This window comes from Homo sapiens, chromosome 14 (assembly GCF_000001405.40).
Source record: "Homo sapiens chromosome 14, GRCh38.p14 Primary Assembly".
In the NCBI taxonomy this organism is placed as follows: domain Eukaryota; kingdom Metazoa; phylum Chordata; class Mammalia; order Primates; family Hominidae; genus Homo; species Homo sapiens.
This window is the reverse complement of record NC_000014.9, coordinates 52,492,307-52,514,644: the sequence shown is the minus strand read 5'-3', so window position 1 is coordinate 52,514,644 and position 22,338 is coordinate 52,492,307. Positions and strand designations below refer to the sequence as shown.

The 22,338-nt window shown below is 38.4% G+C and overlaps 1 protein-coding gene across 5 annotated transcripts in view; it reads left to right on the top strand.

Moving 5' to 3' along the window:
- The window catches only part of TXNDC16 (thioredoxin domain containing 16), a 121,910-nt gene that overhangs the window by 37,861 nt on the left and 61,711 nt on the right, over positions 1 to 22,338 (top strand). For all 5 annotated transcript variants that reach the window (XR_007064038.1, XR_007064037.1, NM_001160047.2 and 2 more), the window contains exon 9: positions 3,255 to 3,405. Coding sequence is in view for 3 of the 5 variants with exons in the window: in NM_001160047.2 (NP_001153519.1) it covers positions 3,255 to 3,405 (151 nt within the window). In the remaining 2 variants the exon portion in view is untranslated. The remainder of the gene's footprint in view (positions 1 to 3,254; positions 3,406 to 22,338) is intronic.

Genomic DNA, 22,338 nt, shown 5'->3' with positions numbered 1-22,338 from the left:
TAAGCCACAAGATGTGAGTGGCCAAGCGGGATATCTTAGGAATGGTTCTCCTGCGGTGATCAGATAGGGGGTAAAATAACAGCTTTCAAAATGAGGCTTCAGAAGTTCTTTGTGAGACTCTTGTAAGTTACTTTGTCATAATAATCTTAAATGTATTTAGGTACAGTTTTTGAACAGAATGTTTGAATGTTGATTTTTCTTGTCTAGTTTACAATTTTAGGTAGAAGCCTACTTTCCACACTTTTTGGCTGGGCAACCTAGGGTTAAAGTTTTCTTTCTTTTTTGTTTGACTTCAAAATGCTCTTCAGGAAAATTAATCCAAAACAGGGCACAATGGTGATTGTATGACCTTTTAATGCCATCCAAGAGTTTTTAATGAGCTCTCCTGCTGACCTCTCAGGAAACAGCAGCTATATGATATGCCACACACAAAAGTTTAAAGCCCAGATGTTTTACAGCTCTACATTTAGAGGCTAGGGCATAGCAAACTGATAAGGTGAAATGACTTTTGAGGGAAGGAGAGTAGGCAGAGAAGAAAGTTTCTACAAAGAGAAGTTATGTTTTTATTGCTCTGTATGACATTGACCAGCATTCCTTTTTCCATTAGTCTCTCCTTATTGACCTGTCTCATTCTGCTGATTTTGTCATTAATGAGTTAAATAAAATGGATGCATGCTCACTGTTTGTCTGTACTGCTGATTTCCCATCCTGGAATGGGTGAAGCCTTGTTATTCTCCATACCACAGTGATTGCATGCTAGCCCCGCAGTTTCTCTGAGGGTTAGTTGTTTGTATTCTCTCATCTTACCAGCCTCTATATTTTTTAGTTAATGAATAATTGCAAATAATAGTGATATTAAAACATAAAGAGGTGGTTATTTATTGGCAAGGTATAGGTCCTATTATTTACCTTACACATCCTGTTCAGTAAGTTATATATATAATATATATGTGTATATATACTGTATATATATGTATATACACACACACACACACAGAATATGTATATATCTGATCTAAGACTAAGGCATGGTATTTTTCTGTAAGATTTTTTTGCTTTTCCCATTTTTTAAATGGGAATTTAAAAATGCACAGTTATCTTCTTATCCTGTTTTTCGTTTGCTTTTGAATATATGATGTATTGGGGAAGTTTGGAATATCATTTCTTCATGGGTAACAAGATGGTGATGAGTCATCCCTGGACCTGAGGTGACAGGGAAAGACTATGGATTCTGAATACAGTGGTGCTGTGATATCACTTTTGGATAAAGTAGTTGGCTATTTGGGTTATCTCCTAATAGGAGTGAGGTGAATACATTCTTTCTTTCACTTGTTAATTCTTTCATTCAGCAAATATTTATTGAATGCTTCCTATGTGATGTAGACACTATTCTAGTTTCTGGCTTTATAACATCAGTTAAGGCTAGTATATTAATTGCTATATCATATTGGATCTGAGTGTGTTTGAAATTATTTGTTAAGAAAAGCATTTATGATAGGTAGTAAAAGAGATAGCATGCCATAGACTCCAGTACTTTCTGCTACTTCCCTATATTCCCTTCCTAAAGAATCTGTGGGCCAAGAAGGGTATTACCCATGCCCCATACATGTCACAATCCATTAAATCAGAGGTGGACACCTGACCTAGGGCCCGCCAGTCCACTGGCTTACTTGAGCAAGTGAGAGAGATGAGAGATCCTCTCTCCCAGGAACTTAGAATTGGACATGGAAAAACTGGATTATACAACATGGTAGCTGTTTTGCTCACAGGAATGTTTTGCCCACTTATAAGTAAAACAGAAAGGTGTCTTCCCAGATTGAATTGAGAGCTGAAAAGTGTTAATATGGCAAACGAAGTTCCCTGAACGCTTGCTGTTTGGGTGTCTACATTTATTCTCTGACTTTTCTCTGATCCAATTATTTGAATTTTCCTTATATTCTGTGAGATTCTCTTATAAACTTCAAATAAGTTTCACTGTTTTTGTTTTCCGTTATCTGCAAGCAAATGATCCCTGATAAAATAATTTTCCAACATTATTCTGTTGTTTCAGAGGCTGTGTTATGGAGTCCAGCCTTAACTAGGACCTCCTGCACTCAACACTTTCCTTTCAGCAGTATGTGACTATTCAGGAATCTCCTCAACAAGTTATATGCTTTCATTGCATCTTAGCTTTTGTTTGAAATGCTCATTTGTCCTATCTTATTGGAGGGGGAATTCTCTCCCTTTTTGTTTTTTAAGCTCTGCGATAATCTCCGTTTTCTTCCCCTTCCTTCTCCTTCCTAATTTGAAGCACAAAGAAATATTTCCTTGTTCCTTATAGTATTTTTGCATATTATAGCACTTACAAACTACAATTTAATTGTTTGACTATATCTCTTTCAAGGATGTAATTGTTTTATTTACCTTTATCTGTTGTGTTTAGCACAGGGCTTAAACCATAGTAGGGATTAAGTAAATCTTTGACTATTTCTTTAATCATTGAATTGATTAGAAATTACTTGGTAATTAAATTTGAAATCAGTGAACCTTGTCAGCTCAGTTTAAATATGTCTCAAGAATTAAAATAGCATTTTAAAAATAAAATTTTGTAGTATTTTGCCAAACCCTACTAATGCCATATGGATATTTCTAAAATGCTATTTTAATTTTGGCAAACCTTATCTCCACTATAAGTTTATCTTTGAATTCTCATGCTGAAGGGAATGCGAAAGCTCAAATTATAAGCCATATTTGCTGAGTTTTGTAATATTTCAGATACAAACTCACAAACTCCCACAAACTGTCACATGGTTTCTATTTTAGAATGTTTTGGCTGAAGTTTATTCAAAACAGCTTTGGGTTTAAATTAAATTTAGAAAATTTGCGTTACAAAGCTTCATTTAGCATAGCTCTAGAAAAGCAACTGTATTTGAAGATAATCTCATTGTCCGCAAGGTGACAGCTTTTTATGGAAGAAAGGTTATAGGCTTGCCTATAACCTATTATAATTTAGAAACTACCATATTAAAGAGGTAAGCAAAAAAAAATTGTTTATACAACTCGTGTGGTTTGTTCAGATATTAAGGTTAATTTTCTTTAATATTCTATATCTTCTTTGTTGCCCAAGTTCATTTAATTTTATACTCTTTCAGGCTTTTACCAAAATAATAATTCAAAAGCATGAGACTTAAGACAAAATTCATTGTTACAGCTTATTGGATGGTAGAAGGATCACATATTGAACTTCATTAAGTTAATTAATTTTTAATTTGTAGCTCTGAGGATGTGGAATATGCACATCTCTACTTTTTTCATTGTAAACTAGTCTTGGACTTGACCCAGCAATGTAGAAGAACACTAATGGAACAGCCATTGACTACACTGAACATTCACCTGTTTATTAAGACAATGAAAGCACCTCTGTTGGTATGTGTCTTATTTTATATTTTTATTTGCTTTCTACTGCCTGTATAATTGCAAAAGGTATGTGTCTTATTTTAACATAAAATTTGTTAAGTTTTGATTTATAGATGCATGTTTTACTAGATGAATGACAGTTATAGCTTTTCCCTTTTTTTCATTTTGAGGGATTTAGGAATAATTCTTTATTAAAGGTAGAATAGAAGATAGACTGTTCATTAAATGACATTTTAATGCCTTCATATATTATTGCATTGAAACCCAAATAGAGCATTGTGTAAGTGAAAATATTCTGTGGTAGTAATAATGAACTCTGGGTCTTGGTGAGCACTCACAGATCACAAAGACCACATCATGGCTAAGAAAAGACCTCTTTTATGAATGCTTTGATCACTATTTTAAAAGTTGGTAGATATTAGAACCATAGGATTTCTGATGCTCCAGTTTCCTTACCATTAGCCTGAAAGAATGTTGTAGAGACACTAGGTGATGGTGATCAGCAAACTGTTCTCTCCGAAAAGTTGAAGGGTTGTGTTGAGCACATGTAAAATCTTTAGTAGATATTCTCATTCAGTATGTCTTTTTTAAAATATAAAAGTGGTGCATGTGTATTATAAGTAATCCAAACATTGCAGCCAAGTATGAAGGAAAAGTTTTAAGAAGTCACTTAATCCGTCTACTCAGAAGTTAATTTAGATGACCACCACACTTGTGATCTTTGCACTCATATGGATGTGTAGAGTTAGGGGAATGAATGGATTAGTGGACATGTCATATTGTATGTACTACTTTATAGTAAAGATATCTAATGTTATTTGAGTTTAATAGAAGAAAATGAAACTGATGTGAAACTAGAGGGATTATGGAACTATTGATAAGTGTTTTTCATCAGTAGAGGGCTCCTTAAGGAATATTGTCTCAAGTGTTTAAAATGGTTTTGAAAGACATTAAGAAATTAAAATCATTATATTTTAAAACTTTGTTTCCATTTTAGATAGTATTGACTTATTCCTACCTGTGAAAGATGAGAAAATTAACTTCATATGTTTATTTCCATCTCAGCTCCCTTGCCCTTCTGATTTGTGTTCGTTTTGTTCTTTGAACATTATCAAGGTCTATGATATTTATATTCTGTATATTCTGTTCTGTAACCATAATTCCCTCTTCTTAAAAAGCATTGCTTCTGCACTTAAATAGATTCAGAGCTTGCCACCACAATTTTATGGGCTTTATTCCTTAGTTCTTTTTTTTTTTTTTTATTTCTTGAGACGGAGTCTCGCTCTGTTTCCCAGGCTGGAGTGCAGTGGCGCGATCTCGGCTCACTGCAAGCTCCTCCTCCTGGGTTCACGCCATTCTCCTGCCTCAGGCCTCCTGAGTAGCTGGGAGTACAGGCACCTGCCACCACACCTGGCTAATTTTTTTGTATTTTTTAGTAGAGATGGGGTTTTATTGTCTTAGCCAGGATGGTCTCGATCTCCTGACCTCATGATCTGCCCGCCTGGACCTCCCAAAGTGCTGGGATTACATGCGTGAGCCACCACGCCCAGCCATTCCTTAGTTCTTTTTTTTTTATGTGCTGCCATTTTTTAATTTTTTTATTATTATTATACTTTAAGTTTTAGGGTACATGTGCACAACATGCAGGTTTGTTACATATATATACATGTGCCATGTTTGTGTGCTGCACCCATTAGTTCTTTAAGTAACTTTTTTCTGTGGTTGCATTTTGACTACAAGTAATTTTTTTTTTAAAGAAAGCAGTTTAAAGGTCTTTCGTTCCTTTCATGTTGGGAGAATACCCTCTGAATATGTTTTAATCTTCCATTCTAGCATAGAGCAGAGAGAAAGAGAAAGGACAGTTCACTGTATAGTTCTTCACTATTTCCCTCCAGGTTCACTTCCTTCTCTTCGAATAGTTGAGTATTATTAAGAATTCTCAGGATTTTGTCCTTCACCATCGGGGGTAAGATTAGGACTCATACCTAGCTTTACTAAAAATCTGTTTTTTCTTTGCTACAACATTCTGGCTTGAAGTTGTGCCCTTTCCTAAAGTTTCTGCTCATGAATTTTTTTTTTGCTGTATTTCAAAACTCTTTTTTGTTTTCTTTGATAGATAATAAGGAGGAAGATTCTCTGATCTTATTTCACTTTATGATGCTTACTAGGAATTATGTAATATTAGTTTTTTTTATTATACTTTAAGTTTTAGGGTACATGTGCACAACGTGCAGGTTTGTTACATATATATACATGTGCCATGTTGGTGTGCTGCACCCATTAACTCGTCATTTAACATTAGGTATATCTCCTAATGCTATCCCTCCCCGCTGCCCCCACCCCACAACAGGCCCCGGTGTGTGATGTTCCCCTTCTTGTGTCAATGTGTTCTTTTGTCAATAAGTAAGAACATGCGGTGTTTGGTTTTTTTGTCCTTGCAATACTTTGCTGAGAATGATGGTTTCCAGCTTCATCCATGTCCCTACAAAGGACATGAACTCATCATTTTTTAAGGCTGCATAGTATTCCATGGTGTATATATGCCACATTTTGTTAATCCAGTCTATCATTGTTGGACATTTGGGTTGGTTCCAAGTCTTTGCTATTGTGAATAGTGCCGCAGTAAACATACGTGTGCATGTGTCTTTATAGCAGCATGTTTTATAATCCTCTGGGTATATACCCAGTAATGGGATTGCTGGGTCAAATGGTATTTCTAGTTCTAGATCCCTGAGGAATCCCCACACTGACTTCCACAATGGTTGAACTAGTTTACAGTCCCACCAACAGTGTAAAAGTGTTCCTATTTCTTCACATCCCCTCCAGCGCCTGTTGTTTCCTGACTTTTTAATGATCGCCATTCTAACTGATGTGAGACGGTATCTCATTGTGGTTTTGATTTGCATTTCTCTGATGGCCAGTGATGGTGAGCATTTTTTCATGTGTCTTTTGGCTGCATAAATGTCTTCTTTTGAGAAGTGTCTATTCATATCCTTCGCCCACTTGTTGATGGGGTTGTTTGTTTTTCTCTTGTAAATTTGTTTGAGTTCATTGTAGATTCTGGATATTAGCCCTTTGTCAGATGAGTAGATTGCAAAAATTTTCTCCCATTCTGTAGGTTGCCTGTTCACTCTGATGGTAGTTTCTTTTGCTGTGCAGAAGCTCTTTAGTTTAATTAGATCCCATTTGTCAATTTTGTCTTTTGTTGCCATTGCTTTTGGTGTTTTAGACATGAAGTCCTTGCCCATGCCCATGTCCTAAATGGTATTGCCTAGGTTTTCTTCTAGGGTTTTTATGGTTTTAGGTCTAACATTTAAGTCTTTAATCCATCTTGAATTAATTTTTGTATAAGGTATAAGGAAGGGATCCAGTTTCAGCTTTCTACATATGGCTAGCCAGTTTTTCCAGCACCATTTATTAAATAGGGAATCCTTTCCCCAATTTCTTGTTTTTGTCACATTTGTCAAAGATCAGATACTTATAGATATGCGGCATTATTTCTGAGGGCTCTGTTCTGTTCCATTGGTCTATATCTCTGTTTTGGTACCAGTACCATGCTGTTTTGGTTACTGTAGCCTTGTAGTATAGTTTGAAGTCAGGTAGCATGATGCCTCCAGCTTTGTTCTTTTCACTTAGGATTGACTTGGCAATGTGGGCTCTTTTTTGGTTCCATATGAACTTAAAGTAGTTTTTTCCAATTCTGTGAAGAAAGTCATTGGTAGCTTGATGGGGTTGGCATTGAATCTATAAATTACCTTGGGCAGTATGGCCATTTTCACGATATTGATTCTTCCTACCCATGAGCATGGAATATTCTTCCATTTGTTTGTATCCTCTTTTATTTCACTGAGCAGTGGTTTGTAGTTCTCCTTGAAGAGGTCCTTCACATCCCTTGTAAGTTGGATTCCTAGGTATTTTATTCTCTTTGAAGCAATTGTGAATGGGAGTTCACTCATGATTTGGCTCTCTGTTTGTCTGTCCTTGGTGTATAAGAATACTTGTGATTTTTGCACATTGATTTTGTATCCTGAGACTTTGCTGAAGTTGCCTATCAGCTTAAGGAGATTTTGGGCTGAGACAATGGGGTTTTCTAGATATACAATCATGTCATCTGCAAACAGGGACAATTTGACTTCCTCTTTTCCTGATTGAATACCCTTTATTTCCTTCTCTTTCCTGATTGCCCTGGACAGAACTTCCAACACTATGTTGAATAAGAGTGGTGAGAGAGGGCATCCCTGTCTTGTGCCAGTTTTCAAAGGGAATGCTTCCAGTTTTTGCCCATTCAGTATGATATTGGCTGTGGGTTTGTCATAGATAGCTCTTATTATTTTGAGATACATCCCATCAATACCTAAGTTGTTGAGAGTTTTTAGCATGAAGGGTTGTTGAAGGCCGGGTGCGGTGGCTCACGCCTGTAATCCCAGCACTTTGGGAGGCCGAGGCGGGTGGATCATGAGGTCAGGAGATCGAGACCATCCTGGCTAACAAGGTGAAACCCCGTCTCTACTAAAAATACAGAAAATTAGCCGGGCGCGGTGGCGGGCGCCTGTAGTCCCAGCTACTCGGGAGGCTGAGGCAGGAGAATGGCGTGAACCCGGGAAGCGGAGCTTGCAGTGAGCCGAGATTGCGCCACTGCAGTCCGCAGTCTGGCCTGGGCGACAGAGCGAGACTCCGTCTCAAAAAAAAGAAAAAAGAAAAAAAAAAAAAAAAAAAAAAAAGGGTTGTTGAAATTTGTCAAAGGCCTTTTCTGCATCTATTGAGATGATCATGTGGTTTTGGTCGTTGGTTCTGTTTATATGCTGGATTACGTTTATTGATTTATGTATGTTGAGCCAGCCTTGTATCCCAGGGATGAAGCCCACTTGATCATGGTGGATAAGCTTTTTGATGTGCTGCTGGATTTGGTTTGCCAGTATTTTATTGAGGATTTTTGCATCAATGTTCATCAGGGATACTGGTCTAAAATTCTCTTTTTTTGTTGTGTCTCTGCCAGGCTTTGGTATCAGGATGATGCTGGCCTCATAAAATGAGTTAGGGAGGATTCCCTCTTTTTCTATTGATTGGAATAGTTTCAGAAGCAATGGTACCAGCTCCTCCTTGTACCTCTGGTAGAATTCGGCTGTGAATCCATCTGGTCCTGGACTATTTTTTGGTTGGTAAGCTATTAATTATTGCCTCAATTTCAGAGCCTGTTATTGGTCTATTCAGAGATTCAACTTCTTCCTGGTTTAGTCTTAGGAGAGTCTACGTGTCGAGGAATTTATCTATTTCTTCTAGATTTTCTAGTTTATTTGTGTAGAGGTGTTTATAGTATTCTCTGATGGTAGTTTTTATTTCTGTGGGATCGGTGGTGATATCCCCTTTATCATTTTTTATTGTGTCTATTTGATTCTTCTCTCTTTTCTTCTTTATTAGTCTTGCTAGCGGTCTATCAGTTTTGTTGATCTTTTCAAAAAACCAGCTCCTGGATTCATTGATTTTTTTGAAGGGTTTTTTGTGTCTCTCTCCTTCAGTTCTGCTCTGCTGCTCTGATCTTAGTTATTTCTTGCCTTCTGGTAGCTTTTGAATGTGTTTGCTCTTGCTTCTGTAGTTCTTTTAATTGTGATGTTAGGGTGTCAATTTTAGATCTTTGCTGCATTCTCATGTGGGCATTTAGCGCTATAAATTTCCCTCTACACACTGCTTTGAATGTGTCCCAGAGATTCTGGTATGTCATGTCTTTGTTCTCATTGGTTTCAAAGACATCTTTATTTCTGCCTTCATTTCGTTATGTACCCAGTATTCCTTCAGCAGCAGGTTGTTCAGTTTCCATGTAGTTGAGCGGTTTTGAATGAGTTTCTGAATCCTGAGTTCTAGTTTGATTGCACTGTGGTCTGAGAGACAGTTATAATTTCTGTTTTTTTACATTGCTGAGGAGTGCTTTACTTCCAACTATGTGGTCAATTTTGGAATAGGTGTGGTGTGGTGCTGAAAAGAATGTATATTGTGTTGATTTGGGGTGGAGAGTTCTGTAGATGTGTATTAGGTCTGCTTGGTGCAGAAGTGAATTCAATTCCTGGATATCCTTGTTAACTTTCTGTCTTATTGATCTGTCTAATGTTGACAGTGGGGTGTTAAAGTCTCCCATTATTATTGTGTGTGAGTCTAAGTCTCTTTGTAGGTCGCTAAGAACTTGCTTTATGAATCTGGTTACTCCTATATTGGGCGCATATATATTTACGATAGTTAGCTCTTCTTTTTGAATTGATACCTTTACCATTATGTAATGGCCTTCTTTGTCTCTTTTGATCTTTGTTGGTTTAAAGTCTGTTTTATCAGAGTCTAGGATTGCAACCCCTGCCTTTTTTTGTTTTCCATTTGCTTGGTAGATCTTCCTCCATCCCTTTATTTTGAGCCTATGTGTGTCTCTGCACATGAGATGGGCTTCCTGAATACAGCACACTGATGGGTCTTGACTCTTTATCCAATTTGCCAGGCTGTGTGTTTTAATTGGAGCATTTAGCCCATTTACATTTAAGGTTGATATTGTTATGTGTGAATTTGATCCTGTCATTATGATGTTAGCTGGTTATTTTGCTCGTTAGTTGATGCAATTTCTTCCTAGCATTGATGGTCTTTACAATTTGGAATGTTTTTGCAGTGGCTGGTACCGGTTGTTCCTTTCCATGTTTATTGCTTCCTTCAGGAGCTCTTTTAGGGCAGGCCTGGTGGTGACAAAATCTCTCAGCATTTGCTTGTCTGTAAAGTATTTTATTTCTCCTTCACTTATGAAGCTTAGTTTGGCTGGATATGAAATTCTGGGTTGAAAATTCTTTTCTTTAAGAATGTTGAATATTGGCCCCCACTCTCTTCTGGCTTGTAGAGTTTCTGCTGAGAGATCAGCTGTTAGTCTGATGGACTTCCCTCTGTGGGTAACCCGACCTTTCTCTCTGGCTGCCCTTAACATTTTTTCCTTCATTTCAACTTTGGTGAATCTGACAATTATGTGTCTTGGAGTTGTTCTTCTCGAGGAGTATGTTTGTGGTGTTCTCTGTATTTCCTGAATCTGAATGTTGGCCTGTCTTGCTAGACTGGGGAAGTTCTCCTGGGTAATATCCTGCAGAGTGTTTTCTAACTTGGTTCCATCCTCCCCCTCACTTTCAGGTATACCAGTCAGACGTAGATTTGGTCTTTTCACGTAGTCCCATATTTCTTGGATGCTTTGTTCTTTTTATTCTTTTTTCTCTAAACTTCTCTTCTCGCTTCATTTCATTCATTTGATCTTCCATCACTGATACCCTTTCTTCCAGTTGATTGAGTCAGCTACTGAGGCTTGTGCATTTGTCCCGTAGTTCTCGTGCCATAGTTTTCAGCTCCATCAAGTCCTTTAAGGACTTCTCTGCATTGGTTATTCTAGTTAGCCATTCGTCTAATCTTTTTTCAAGGTTTTTAACTTCTTTGCCATGGCTTCGAACTTCCTTCTTTAGCTCGGAGTAGTTTGATCGTCTGAAGCCTTCTTCTCTCAACTCATGAAAGTCATTCTCTGTCCAGCTTTGTTCCATTGCTGGTGAGGAGCTGCGTTCCTTTGGAGGAGTAGAGGTGCCCTGATTTTTAGGGTTTCCAGTTTTTCTGCTCTGTTTTTTCCCCATCTTTGTGGTTTTTTATCTACCTTTGGTCTTTGATGATGGTGATATACAGATGGGGTTTTGGTGTGGATGTCCTTTTTGTTTGTTAGTTTTCCTTCTAACAGTCAGGACCCTCAGCTGCAGGTCTGTTGGAGTTTGCTGGAGGTCCACTCCAGACCCTGTTTGCCTGGGTATCAGCAGCAGAGGCTGCAGAACAGCGAATATTGGTGAACAGCAAATGTTGCTGCCTGATTGTTCCTCTGGAAGTTTTGTCTCAGAGGAGTACCTGGCCATGTGAGGTGTCAGTCTGCCCCTACTGGGGGGTACCTCCCAGTGAGGCTACTTGGGGGTCAGGGACCCACTTGAGGAGGCAGTCTGTTCTCAGATCTCAAGCTGCGTGCTGGGAGAACCACTGCTCTCTTCAAACCTGTCAGACAGGGACATTTAAGTCTGCAGAGGTTTTTGCTGCCTTTTCTTTGGCTAAGTCCTGCCCCCAGAGGTGGAGTCTACAGAGGCAGGCAGGCCTCCTTGAGCTGTGGTGGGCTCCACCCAGTTGGAGCTTCCCATCTGCTTTGTTTACCTACTCAAGCCTTGGCAATGGCGGGCGCCCCTCCTCAAGCCTCGCTGCCACCTTGCAGTTTGATCTCAGACTGCTGTGCTAGCAATGAGTGAGGCTCTGTGGGCATAGGACCCTCGGAGCCCTCAAGCGCGGGATATAATCTCCTTGTGTGCCATTTGCTAAGACCGTTGGAAAAGCGCAGTGTTAGGGTGGGAGTGACCCAATTTTCCAGGTTCCGTCTGTCACCCCTTTTCTTGGCTAGGAAAGGGAATTCCCTGACCCCTTGCACTTCCTGGGTGATGCGATGCGTCACCCTGCTTCGGGTCACGCTCGGTGCGCTGTACCGACTGTCCTGCACCCACTGTTTGACAATCCCCAGTGAGATGAACCTTGTACCTCAGTTGGAAATGGAGAAATCATTCATCTTCTGCCTCGCTCACTCTGGGAGCTGTAGACTGGAGCTGTTCCTATTTGGCCATCTTGGCTCCACCCCCCTGTAGTATTAGTTTTGAAATTAAAAAACCAAAGCTTTGGAAACTTCATAATGACTTCAGTTAAGTGTGGTTTTACCTGAAAGCATAACATGGCAAAAAATTAAGGGCATCATTTATATTGTATTCTGTAGGAACAACAGCCCCTTGAAATACACGTTTTATAAAATACAATGTCAATGGTACTTTGTAGAGTTGTGCCATGCAGGTGACCCTGCTCTAACCACTGTTCACTCAAAAGGAATATTAAATTGTTAATCAAAGTCTGGAGTAGGTTTTGCTTCAACACTTTCACAGAATAATGCATAAGCGTTTTATTTGTTTGAACTTTTTTTTCCTAGACAACTAGGGAACTTGGATATAGGATTCAGGCAGAGGCTCCAGAAGCCCCGGTAGACACTGAAATAGGTAGGAATGACCAGTAGCATAAAACCAAGAAAGATCTGAAAGGCTGAATTGAAGATCAGAGCCAAATTGGAAAGCTAAGCTGAGAATTCAAACCTTGATGTCAGCCTAGGAATACTTGGCAGAGTGAGGCCTAGAAGCACAGATTCGTGGACTTTCATAGACCAGAACAGAGAAAATGAATGCAGAGTACAGAAAAGGAGACAAAGCCTCGAAAGATTCCTTGAGACTATTGGCGGGTGGCTAAGGCTTACCCCGGTGGAATTAGGAAGATGTTAGAATCCTCAGCTGGTTTGGTCACTTTTATGTTTTATTTCTTTAAACATTTGACCATATCAGTATTTGAGGTTGTTTTTTGTTCTTAAATAATACATTTGAGGTTAAAAAAACTGAGTCACGCCAAACACTTTTATAGGAAACACCTCTTAGACCAAAATTTGTTCTAACGGGTTATACCCTTTGATGGTATAGTTAACTGGAATGAGATAGAGAGGTCCCAAAAGGTGGTACCTAAATTTGTTGACTTCTTACAGGTTCTTATTAGTAGCCGACTTCATAGGACTTTGAATTCATGTTTCTTGCTTTATTCTTATTCTCTCATAGTACTACTGAAGCTCATTCCCCCTGTTATCTTAGACATTATTCTATATACAAGCCCTTGGGGTTTAATCATGGTTGGGTTTTGTGTGTTTGGTAAGATGCTTTGCAAATTAGCCTGGGTTTCTGGGTTCAGGATCTGAAATAATTTGGTATGTTTACAAAGTCTTTTTATAAACTAATAAAAATGGAAAGTAGGATTCAGGCTTTTTTGTAAACGGCATTGTGTCTGATCATTGCAATTATATGTATTATTAGTTCACTTCTAAGCATATGAAAATAGATGCAGATTGCTTTTGTATGTGTGTTTATTGCTTTTTTTTTCTTTTAGGTAAACAGGGTACTTGGACACCTAATTGTAGATATATAACACAACTATGTCTTATACTCACGATGGGAGGTGTGTCATTTTGATCATGTCAAACTGAAAATAAATCTTGAGTATAGAATTTTTAAGTGAATTTCAATCTTAAATAGGTTAAGTAAGATTCTGCCAGATATGGAGTTGTTTTAGATGTATTATTAAGGTTCCCAACAGTGAACACAGATGGGAAAATGGTTCAATTATTGTCCTGTTGGCAAATACCAAGGACATTTTAGAATGCTGATGATTTTCTCCATGATGGATTCAGTTTATATTTGTAGATAGAAGGAAAGCTTTTATCTGAATCCCAATTGAGAATCTGAATTCTCAAGTGCAAATATCTAATAAAATGTTAAAAGATGGGTAAGTTTATACATTTTTAATAATTTCTGAAATTTTTACATTATTTTTTGTTTGTTCATCTAGCTGTCTGTCTCAGATTCAAGACACTTGAATTAAGTTAAACCTACTCTTTTATATAGGAAATTAGAAAGATGCTGTTATGATTTATTCATTTAGCTCCTATTTCTAGAGAACTTATGTGGCAGTGTGCAATATTGTGCAGCATAGTGTTTCCTAACATGGTTATTTTAGAGACTTTTTTTCCATTGTTGTAAAAACCGTGTAAGATTACCCTCATCACAATTTGAAAGTGTATAATACAGTATTAGCTGATGTACGTTGTTGTACAGCAGGTCTCTGGAACTTTGTCATATTGCACGACTGAAACTCTATACTCATTGAACACACAACTTCACATCTCCCCTCTACCTGACCGCAGTCCTTGACACCACCAGTCTACTTTCCATTCGTATGAGTTTGATTACTGTAGATACCACATATACACTGAGTTATGCCATATTTGTTTTTGCAGTTGGCTTATTTCACTTAGAATAATGTCCTCAAGGTTCATCCATGTTGTAGTGTATGTCAGGATTTTATTCTTTTTTAAGGCTGAATAATATTCCGTTGGACGTATATACCGCATTTTATTTATCCATTCATCCATTGATAGACGTTTAGGTTGCTTCCACCTCTTGGCTATGGTGAGTAATGCTGCAATGGACATGGGTATTCTCTGAGATCTTTTTTCTCATTCTTTTGAAAATATACCCAGAAGTGGGATTGCTGGATCATATGGTAGTTTCATTTTTAATTTTTGAAGAACCTCCATATACTCAGCCCTCTGTATCTGTGGATTCTGCATCCTTGGATTAAACCAACTGCAGATGAAAAATAATTAAAACCCAATAAAAATAAAAATATAACAATAAAAATAATACAAAATTAAATTATGGTATAACAACTATTTACATAGTATTTACATTGTATTTGATATTATAAATAATCTAGAGATGATTTTAAGGTATACAAGATGGAGCGTGTAGGTATATGCAAATACTATGACTTTTATATAAAGAACTTGAACATTTATGGATTTTGGTATATTTAAGGGGTGTAGAGAAACTGATTCCTTATGGATACTGAGGGATGACTGTACTGTTTTCATAGTGCCTGCACCATTTTACAGTCTCACCAACAGTGCACAAGGGTTCATTTCTTCATATCTTCACCAACGTTTGTCATTCTTTTCTTTCTTTTCTTTTTTTTTTTTTGATAGTGGCCATTTTAAAGGATATGAGATGATACCTCATGGTGGTTTCGAGTTTTATTTTCCCGATGATTAGTGATGTTGAGTATCGTCTCATATGCTTGGCCATTTGTGTATCTTCTTTGGAAAAATGTCTATTCAAGTCTTTTGTCCATTTAAAAAATTGAGTTATTTGTTTTGTTATTGAATTATGGGGGTTCTCTGTATGTTCTGTATGTTAACTCTTTATCTCATATATGTTTTGCAGACATTTTCTCTCATTCAGTTGTCTTTTTACTCTATTAGAAGTTTTAGTTTGTCTATTTTTGCTTTTGTTGTTTGTGCTTTTGTTGTCATATCCAAGAAATTGTTGCCCATTTCAATGTCATGAAACTTTTCCCCCTATGTTTTCTTTTAGGAGTTTTACTTTCAGGTCTTATGTTTAGGTATTTAATCCATTATGAGTTAACTTTTGTATATGCTGTGAGATAAGGGTCCATTTTCATTCTTTTGCATGTGGATATCCAGTTTTCCCAGCACCATCTATTGAAGAGACTGTCCTTTCTTTACTGAGTGGTTTTGACATCCTTGTCAAAGATCATTTGAACATATACATGAAGGTTTATTTGTGGGCTCTCTATTTTGTTCCATTGGTCTATGTGTCTGTTTTTATGCCAGTACTAGGCTATTTTGATTACTGTAGCTTTGTAATATATTTTGAAATCAGAAAGTGTGAGGCCTCTAGCTTTGTACTTCTTTCTCAAGATTGTCTGGGCTATCTGAAATCCCTTGAGATTCCATATGAATTTTAGGATTTTTTTTCTATTTCTGCAAAAAATACCATTGGGATTTTAATAGGGATTGCATTGAATCTGTAGATTGCTTTGGGTAGTATAGACATTTTAATAATATTATTAAGTCTTCTAATCCATGAACACAGAATGTCTTTCCATTTATTTATGTCTTTTAAATTTTCTCTCAGCAATGTTTTGTAGTTTTCAGTATAAGGGTCTTTTACCTCCTTTGTTCAATTTATTCCAAAGTATTTTATTCTTTTTCAATGCTATTGTAAATGGGATTATTTTCTTAATTTTATTTTTGGATTGCTCATTATTAGTGTATAGAAATGCAACTGATTTTTGTATGCTGATTTTGTATCCTGCAAAATGGTTCTTATGGTTTTCTGGTGTGTGTGAGTGTGTGTGTGTGTGTGTGTGTGTGTGTGTGTGATCTTTAGGGTTTTGCACATATAAGATCCTATTACCTGTGAACAGAGATAATTTTACTTCTTCTTTTCCAATTTTGATGCATTTATTTGTTTTCCTTACCTAATTGGTGTGGCTAGGACTTTCAGTTCTATGTTGAATAAAAGTGTCAAGAGTGGGTATCCTTGACTTGTTCATGGTCTTAGAGGGAAAGTTCACAGTTTTTTAACCATTGAATATGATATTGGCTGGGCTTTTCATTTATGCTGTTTAATATCTTGAGGTAATTTATTTCTGTTCCTAGTTTATTGTGAGTTTTTATCATGAAATTGTGTTGAATATTTTCAAATGCTTTTCCTGCATCAATCGAAATGACCATGTGATTTTTGTCCTTTGTTCTGTCAATTTGGTGTACAGTATTACATTAATTAGTTTCTGTGTGTCAAACCATCCTTGCATTGCAAGCATAAATCCCTCTTGCTCATGATGAGTGGTCCTTTTAATGTGCTGCTGAATTCAGTTTGGTAGGTTTTTTTTTTTTTTTTTTTTGAGACAGAGTCTTGCTCCGTTGCCCAGGCTGGAGTGCAGTGGCGCAATCTCGGCTCACTGCAACCTCTGCCTCCTGGGTTCAAGTGATTCTCCTGCTTCAGCCTTCTGAGTAGCTGGGATTACAGGTGCATGCTGCCATGCCCTGGCTAATTTTTTGTATTTTAGTAGAAATGGGGTTTCACCATGTTGCCCAGGCTGGTCTCGAACTCCTGAGCTCAGGCAATCCGCCCGCCTCAGCCTCCCAAAGTGCTGGGATTATAGGCTTGAGCCACTGCTCCCAGCCCAGTTTGGTAGTTTTTGTTGAGGATTTTTGCCTTAATATTCATTAGGGATATTGCTCATACTGCTCTGTAGTTTCCTTTTCTTGCAGTATCTTTGACTTTAGTATCAGGATAATGCTGGCCTCATAAAATGAGTTTGGAAATATTCTCACCTCTTTGAATTTTTGGAAGAGGTTAAGAAGGATTGGCATTATTTCTTTAAATGTTTAGTTGGATTTTCCATTGAAGCTATCTGGTCCTGGACTTTTCTTTGTTGGGAGGTTTTTGATTACTGATTTAATTTTCTTACTAGTTCTAGATCTGTTCAGATTTTCTATTAATGATTCAGTCTTGGTAGGTTGTATGTCTCTAAGAATTTATTTCTTCTAAGTTATCAAATTTATTGGCATATAATTGCTCATAATAGTCTTTTATAATCCTGTTTATTATATCATTTTTGAAAGTTAATTTTTAAGTAATTTTAGTTATTTAATAGTAATACATGAATTGTAGAAAAATATTGGTAGTTGTACCCCAATGCAAGAATGTTTCTGTCACTTTTATATCTACTCTTATACTAATTTCTATTTATATTACATATTTTATTTAGTTATAATTTTTATGATACTACCCTATGACTTTATCTGCCTATCAAGGACATTTGTGATTTTGTTTTTTGTCAAATGGAATGGATTATAACTTCATAATTAGGGTGCGTGCAGTGGTTCCCGCCTATAATCCCGGCACTTTGGGAGGCTGAGTTGGGTGGATCGCTTGAGGTCAGGAGTTTGAGACCAGCCTGAGCAAAATATGAAGACCCCCATCTCTACAAAAACATAAAAAATTAGCTGGGTATGATGGTATGCACCTGTAGTCCCAGCTACTTGGGAGGCTGAGGTGGTGGGAGGATCACCTGAGCCTGGGGAAGTCAAGGCTGTAGTGAGCTGTAATCATGCCACTGTACTCCAGCCAGGCAACAGAGTGAGACTCTGTCTCAAAAAAAAAAAAAATCATAAAATCATAAAAAAGTCATAATTAGGAAACCCACAAGATTTTAAAAGAATTATACCAACTTGTATGGTAAGAGACAGAAATAGCACAAAATGATATATGTACTTTATACTCCAAATTTTGAGGGGCAGGAAAAGGCTAAGAAATCTACTCAGCTGCAATCACAGGCTTTAAAAAAAAAAAAAAAAAAAGACGAGTTGGAGGGCAGACCTAGGCCCAGACTTTGTAACCAAGAGTCTCAAGTTCAGGGAACAGGACTGAGCCCTAGTCAAGGAACTGGCAACATATGCCTGAATGGACCTCAGACTTGCTATAGACCAGTGACTATCGTGTGCCTCCATTTTTCCCCGCTTCAACTAGGAGTGTATATAGTGGTTATACTATGCCTGTCCCATCATTGTCTGTTGTGTATGTATTGGGGAAAATGATCTGTCTCTTTTTTTTTTTTTTGAGATGGAGTCTCGTGCTGTCACCCAGGCTGGAGTGCAGCGGAGCGATCTCGGCTCACTGCAAGCTCCACCTCTCAGGTTCAAGCCATTCTCCTGCCTCAGCCTCCCGAGTAGCTGGAACTACAGGTGCCCACCACCACACCCGGCTAATTTTTTTTCATTTTTAGTAGAAATGGGGTTTCACCATGTTAGCCAGGATGGTCTCGATCTCCTGACCTCGTGATCCGCCTGCCTCAGCCTCCCAAAGTGCTGGGATTACAGGCGTGAGCCACCATGGTGGCCGATCTGTCTCTTTAGTTCACAGGTCTTCAGATTGAGAGGAATAGTTTTCAAGGAGCTGTATGCAAAGGACTTACCTGCACCTGGAACTAAATGTAGATGATGTATTAAACTTTGTGCAGGACTCAATCAAAGCTTGATGGGATAAGGCTTTAGGAGTCTTGGAGAGAGGTGTGTATTTTACACATGGAAGTGATATGAGTTGTTTTAGCCAGGGGGCAGACTACCGCTGCAGTAATCCCTCCCACATGCAAAAGAGGTTCACTCCTTTCTCCAAGACTCACAAAGTCCAACAGTACCTCCCATCCCATAAGCTCCCCTTATCATGTCACCCTATCACTGTACCTGTGGGATGGTGGAGTCTGACTTCTCTACCTGAACCTGGTTGGGCTTTTGTAACTGTCTTGACCAACAGAATGAGGCTAAGGTGATGATATATGACTTCATATATCATTAATGGCTATGTTTCACAAAATGTCATGTGCCTCTGCCTTGCTCTCTTTATTTGCTCATTCTTGAAAACCCCCACCTTGTTGTTAGACTAAGCAGCCTGAGGAGAAGCCCATAAAAAGGAGAATCAAGGCCCTTAGACCACAGCCCTGGCTGAGCTCCTAATAGTCAGCAACAGCTTATTAGCCATGTGTATGAGCCATCTGTAAAGTAGAATCTTCAGCCTCCAGTTGAAATAGCCTACTAATGCCACATGAAGCAGAGATGAGCTTACACATATTTGAGCAAAAGAAATGATTCTTATCATTTTAAGGTACCAGGTTTTAGGGTACTTTGCTACACAGTGATAGTTGCTCAAAGCACACCCCTCAAGTGATCTCATTTGTTTCTGTGGCATTAACTACACGGATTCTCAAATCTGAATTTTCAGGTCACATGTTTATTTGGAGCTCCCACCCATATGTCTAACTGTTAATTAGATGTATCCCTCCTTAAGCACAACACATGTGACATTAAGGTATTGTCCTTCACCACCACTGGTTCTTTTTCTATTATTTTGGTTATCTTACTGTCCATTCATTGATGGCAGACATCTGGGAAAACATGCTTAATTCCTACATCTTCCTGCATGTAATTTTACATCTGAAATATCATTTGAAAGCTGACAGAGTGATATTTTAAAAATATATATGTGATCATGAGTTCATGCAATTCATAAATGGCTTCACTTTACTTACACAATAAAGCCCCATTTTCTTGGCAGGATATTCATGGCTTTCAATGATCTGGCCCCTTGCCAGATTTCTAGCCTTACTGACTATTCCTCCTTTTTGCTTTATAATACTGAATTACTAATTACTAATAGTTCTCCTAATACACAAGGAAAAAAAAACAGGCATTTTTACTCCTTCAGGGTATTTCACTCATCTAGGTTTTTGGCAGAAATTCGTTGCTTGTGGTTGTAAGACCCAGGTTTCTGTTTTCTTGCTGGCTGTTGGACAGGGGTTGTTCTCATTTCCTACAGGCTGCTCTCAAGCCCTTGCCACATGGCCCTCTCACAACATTGCAGCTTGCTCCTTCAAAGCCAGTGGGAGAATCTTACTTGAGTGTGTTACAGCAGACTTCTATGTAATGTCACGTAACCAAAGGAATGGCTACCCACGGGTCCTACTGACACTCAGGGGAGGGGATTATACAAGATTTGTTCACTAGGGGGTAGGAATCTTGGGGGCTGTATTAAGAGTACTTAATAACTCAAGTTATTGAGTACTTTATATATATATATATATCTTTCCTAAAAATTGCCGAAGAGAATCCTATACTTACCTATGGTAGACAGACTTCTAAGATAGCTCCCAAGGTTCCTATCCCCTGGTGATAGGAATCACTTTGGGAGGCCAAGGTGGGTGGATTGGCTGAGTCCAGGAGTTCGAGACCAGCCTGGGCAACATGGCGAGACCCCATCTCTACAAAATATATAAAAATTAGCTGGGCTTGGTGATGCATGCCTGTAGTCCCAGCTATTTGGTGGAGGTTGAAGTGGGAGGATTGCTTGAGGCTGGGAGACAGAGGTTACAGTGAGCTGAGATCCTGACACTGCACTCCAGCCTGGGTGAGAGAGCAAGACTCTATCTTGGAAAAAAAAAAAGTTTAATTATTAGAAAGTTTAGGAGAATGCATCTTCCTTTGTATCTGCTTTTATCCACTCTATTGGTTATTCAGTGGGCTCTTTCAATCTGACAACTCATGTCCTTCAGTTGTGGGAAAATTTTGTGTTTATTTCAGTGATGATTTCTTCTATATTCTCCCTTCTCTTTTTCTGTGACTTGCATTATTTAGATGTTAGACCTCTTGAACTAGTCCTTCAATTTTATTACCTTTTTTCTCTATCTTCCATCTATTTCTGTTGTGCTTTCTGGGAGATTTATTTAACTTTATTTTTCAATTCTTTATGGATCCAGTGTCTTCCCATCTCCTTGAGGTTGTCTATGGTGGTTTCTGAACCTTTCTTCTTCCCACATAGTCTGTATTTTCTCTATGTTATTTATTTTTCTATGTGTTCTAGTCTCTGTCTTTCATGTTAGAGGCTTTCCTCAGGTGTTTGTTAATCCTTGGATATCTATTCACAATTTAGAATTTGAAACTAGAAGCTGATTGGAAATTCTAACATTGGTGGGACTTGGTGACTTTTAAATATGTGTGTGTGTGTGTGTGTATATATATATATATATATATATAGAACAGTGACATGTGTTCACATTTTATTTCTTCTCTAATCTTCTTTTTAAATTTTTATATAATTTTTTCTTTAAAAAAAAAATAGAGACAGGGTCACGCTTTGTAGCCCAGGCTGGTCTTGAACTCCTGACCTCAAATGGTCTTCTGTCTTGGCCTCCCAAAGTGCTGGGATTATAGGCGTGAGCCATCGTGCCTGACCTTTTCATTAATCTTCTTAGTTTCTTACTATCACAATGGAATGATGAGAAAACAAAACAAAAACATCAGTCTTTGCAAGTCTCTGACAAAAAGCAGAGACTTCAAGGCAGTTGGGGTTGGGGGAGACTTGAGAGATGTGGCCAAAATAGTACTGACTCTCTTTGGCTGACTGGGCCGAGGAGGGTTGGGAAGGGGGAATGGTGAGAAGGTGGCACCATTGTAAGCTGCCCTTGACATTTCTGCCCCCTGACTGGTAAGTGTCTGATCTGCACAGACCATCCCATGGGATTTCTTAGTGCCTTCTGGCCACCTGGCCACATGACACCCCACCTCCCTGCCTAGTTCAAATGTCCTGGGAACGCCAAGCAGTGCTCAGATGGACCCTGAAGCCAGCTGTGCTGGGTGGCGGCAAAAGAGGAGCGTGGAGGAGGGGCAGAGGCAGGCAACACTGTTGCAGATTCTCACACATTCTCTGTGTGAGAATTCAAGAAGTGTGGTTGAGTCTTGTCTGGGAGACATCTATGGTGGAAGGTAGAGAAGGTGCGGGTAGCAGTGGCAGAAGTCTATGTCTCTTAGGCAGTAAGCAGACTGAAGAGGTGAGCAGGGCCGAGCCTAGAGCTCTATAAAGTAACTGGGCCTGGCCTGCTTTTTGGCGAATCCCAATGTCAGTATCTTTAGGCTTTTGGGGT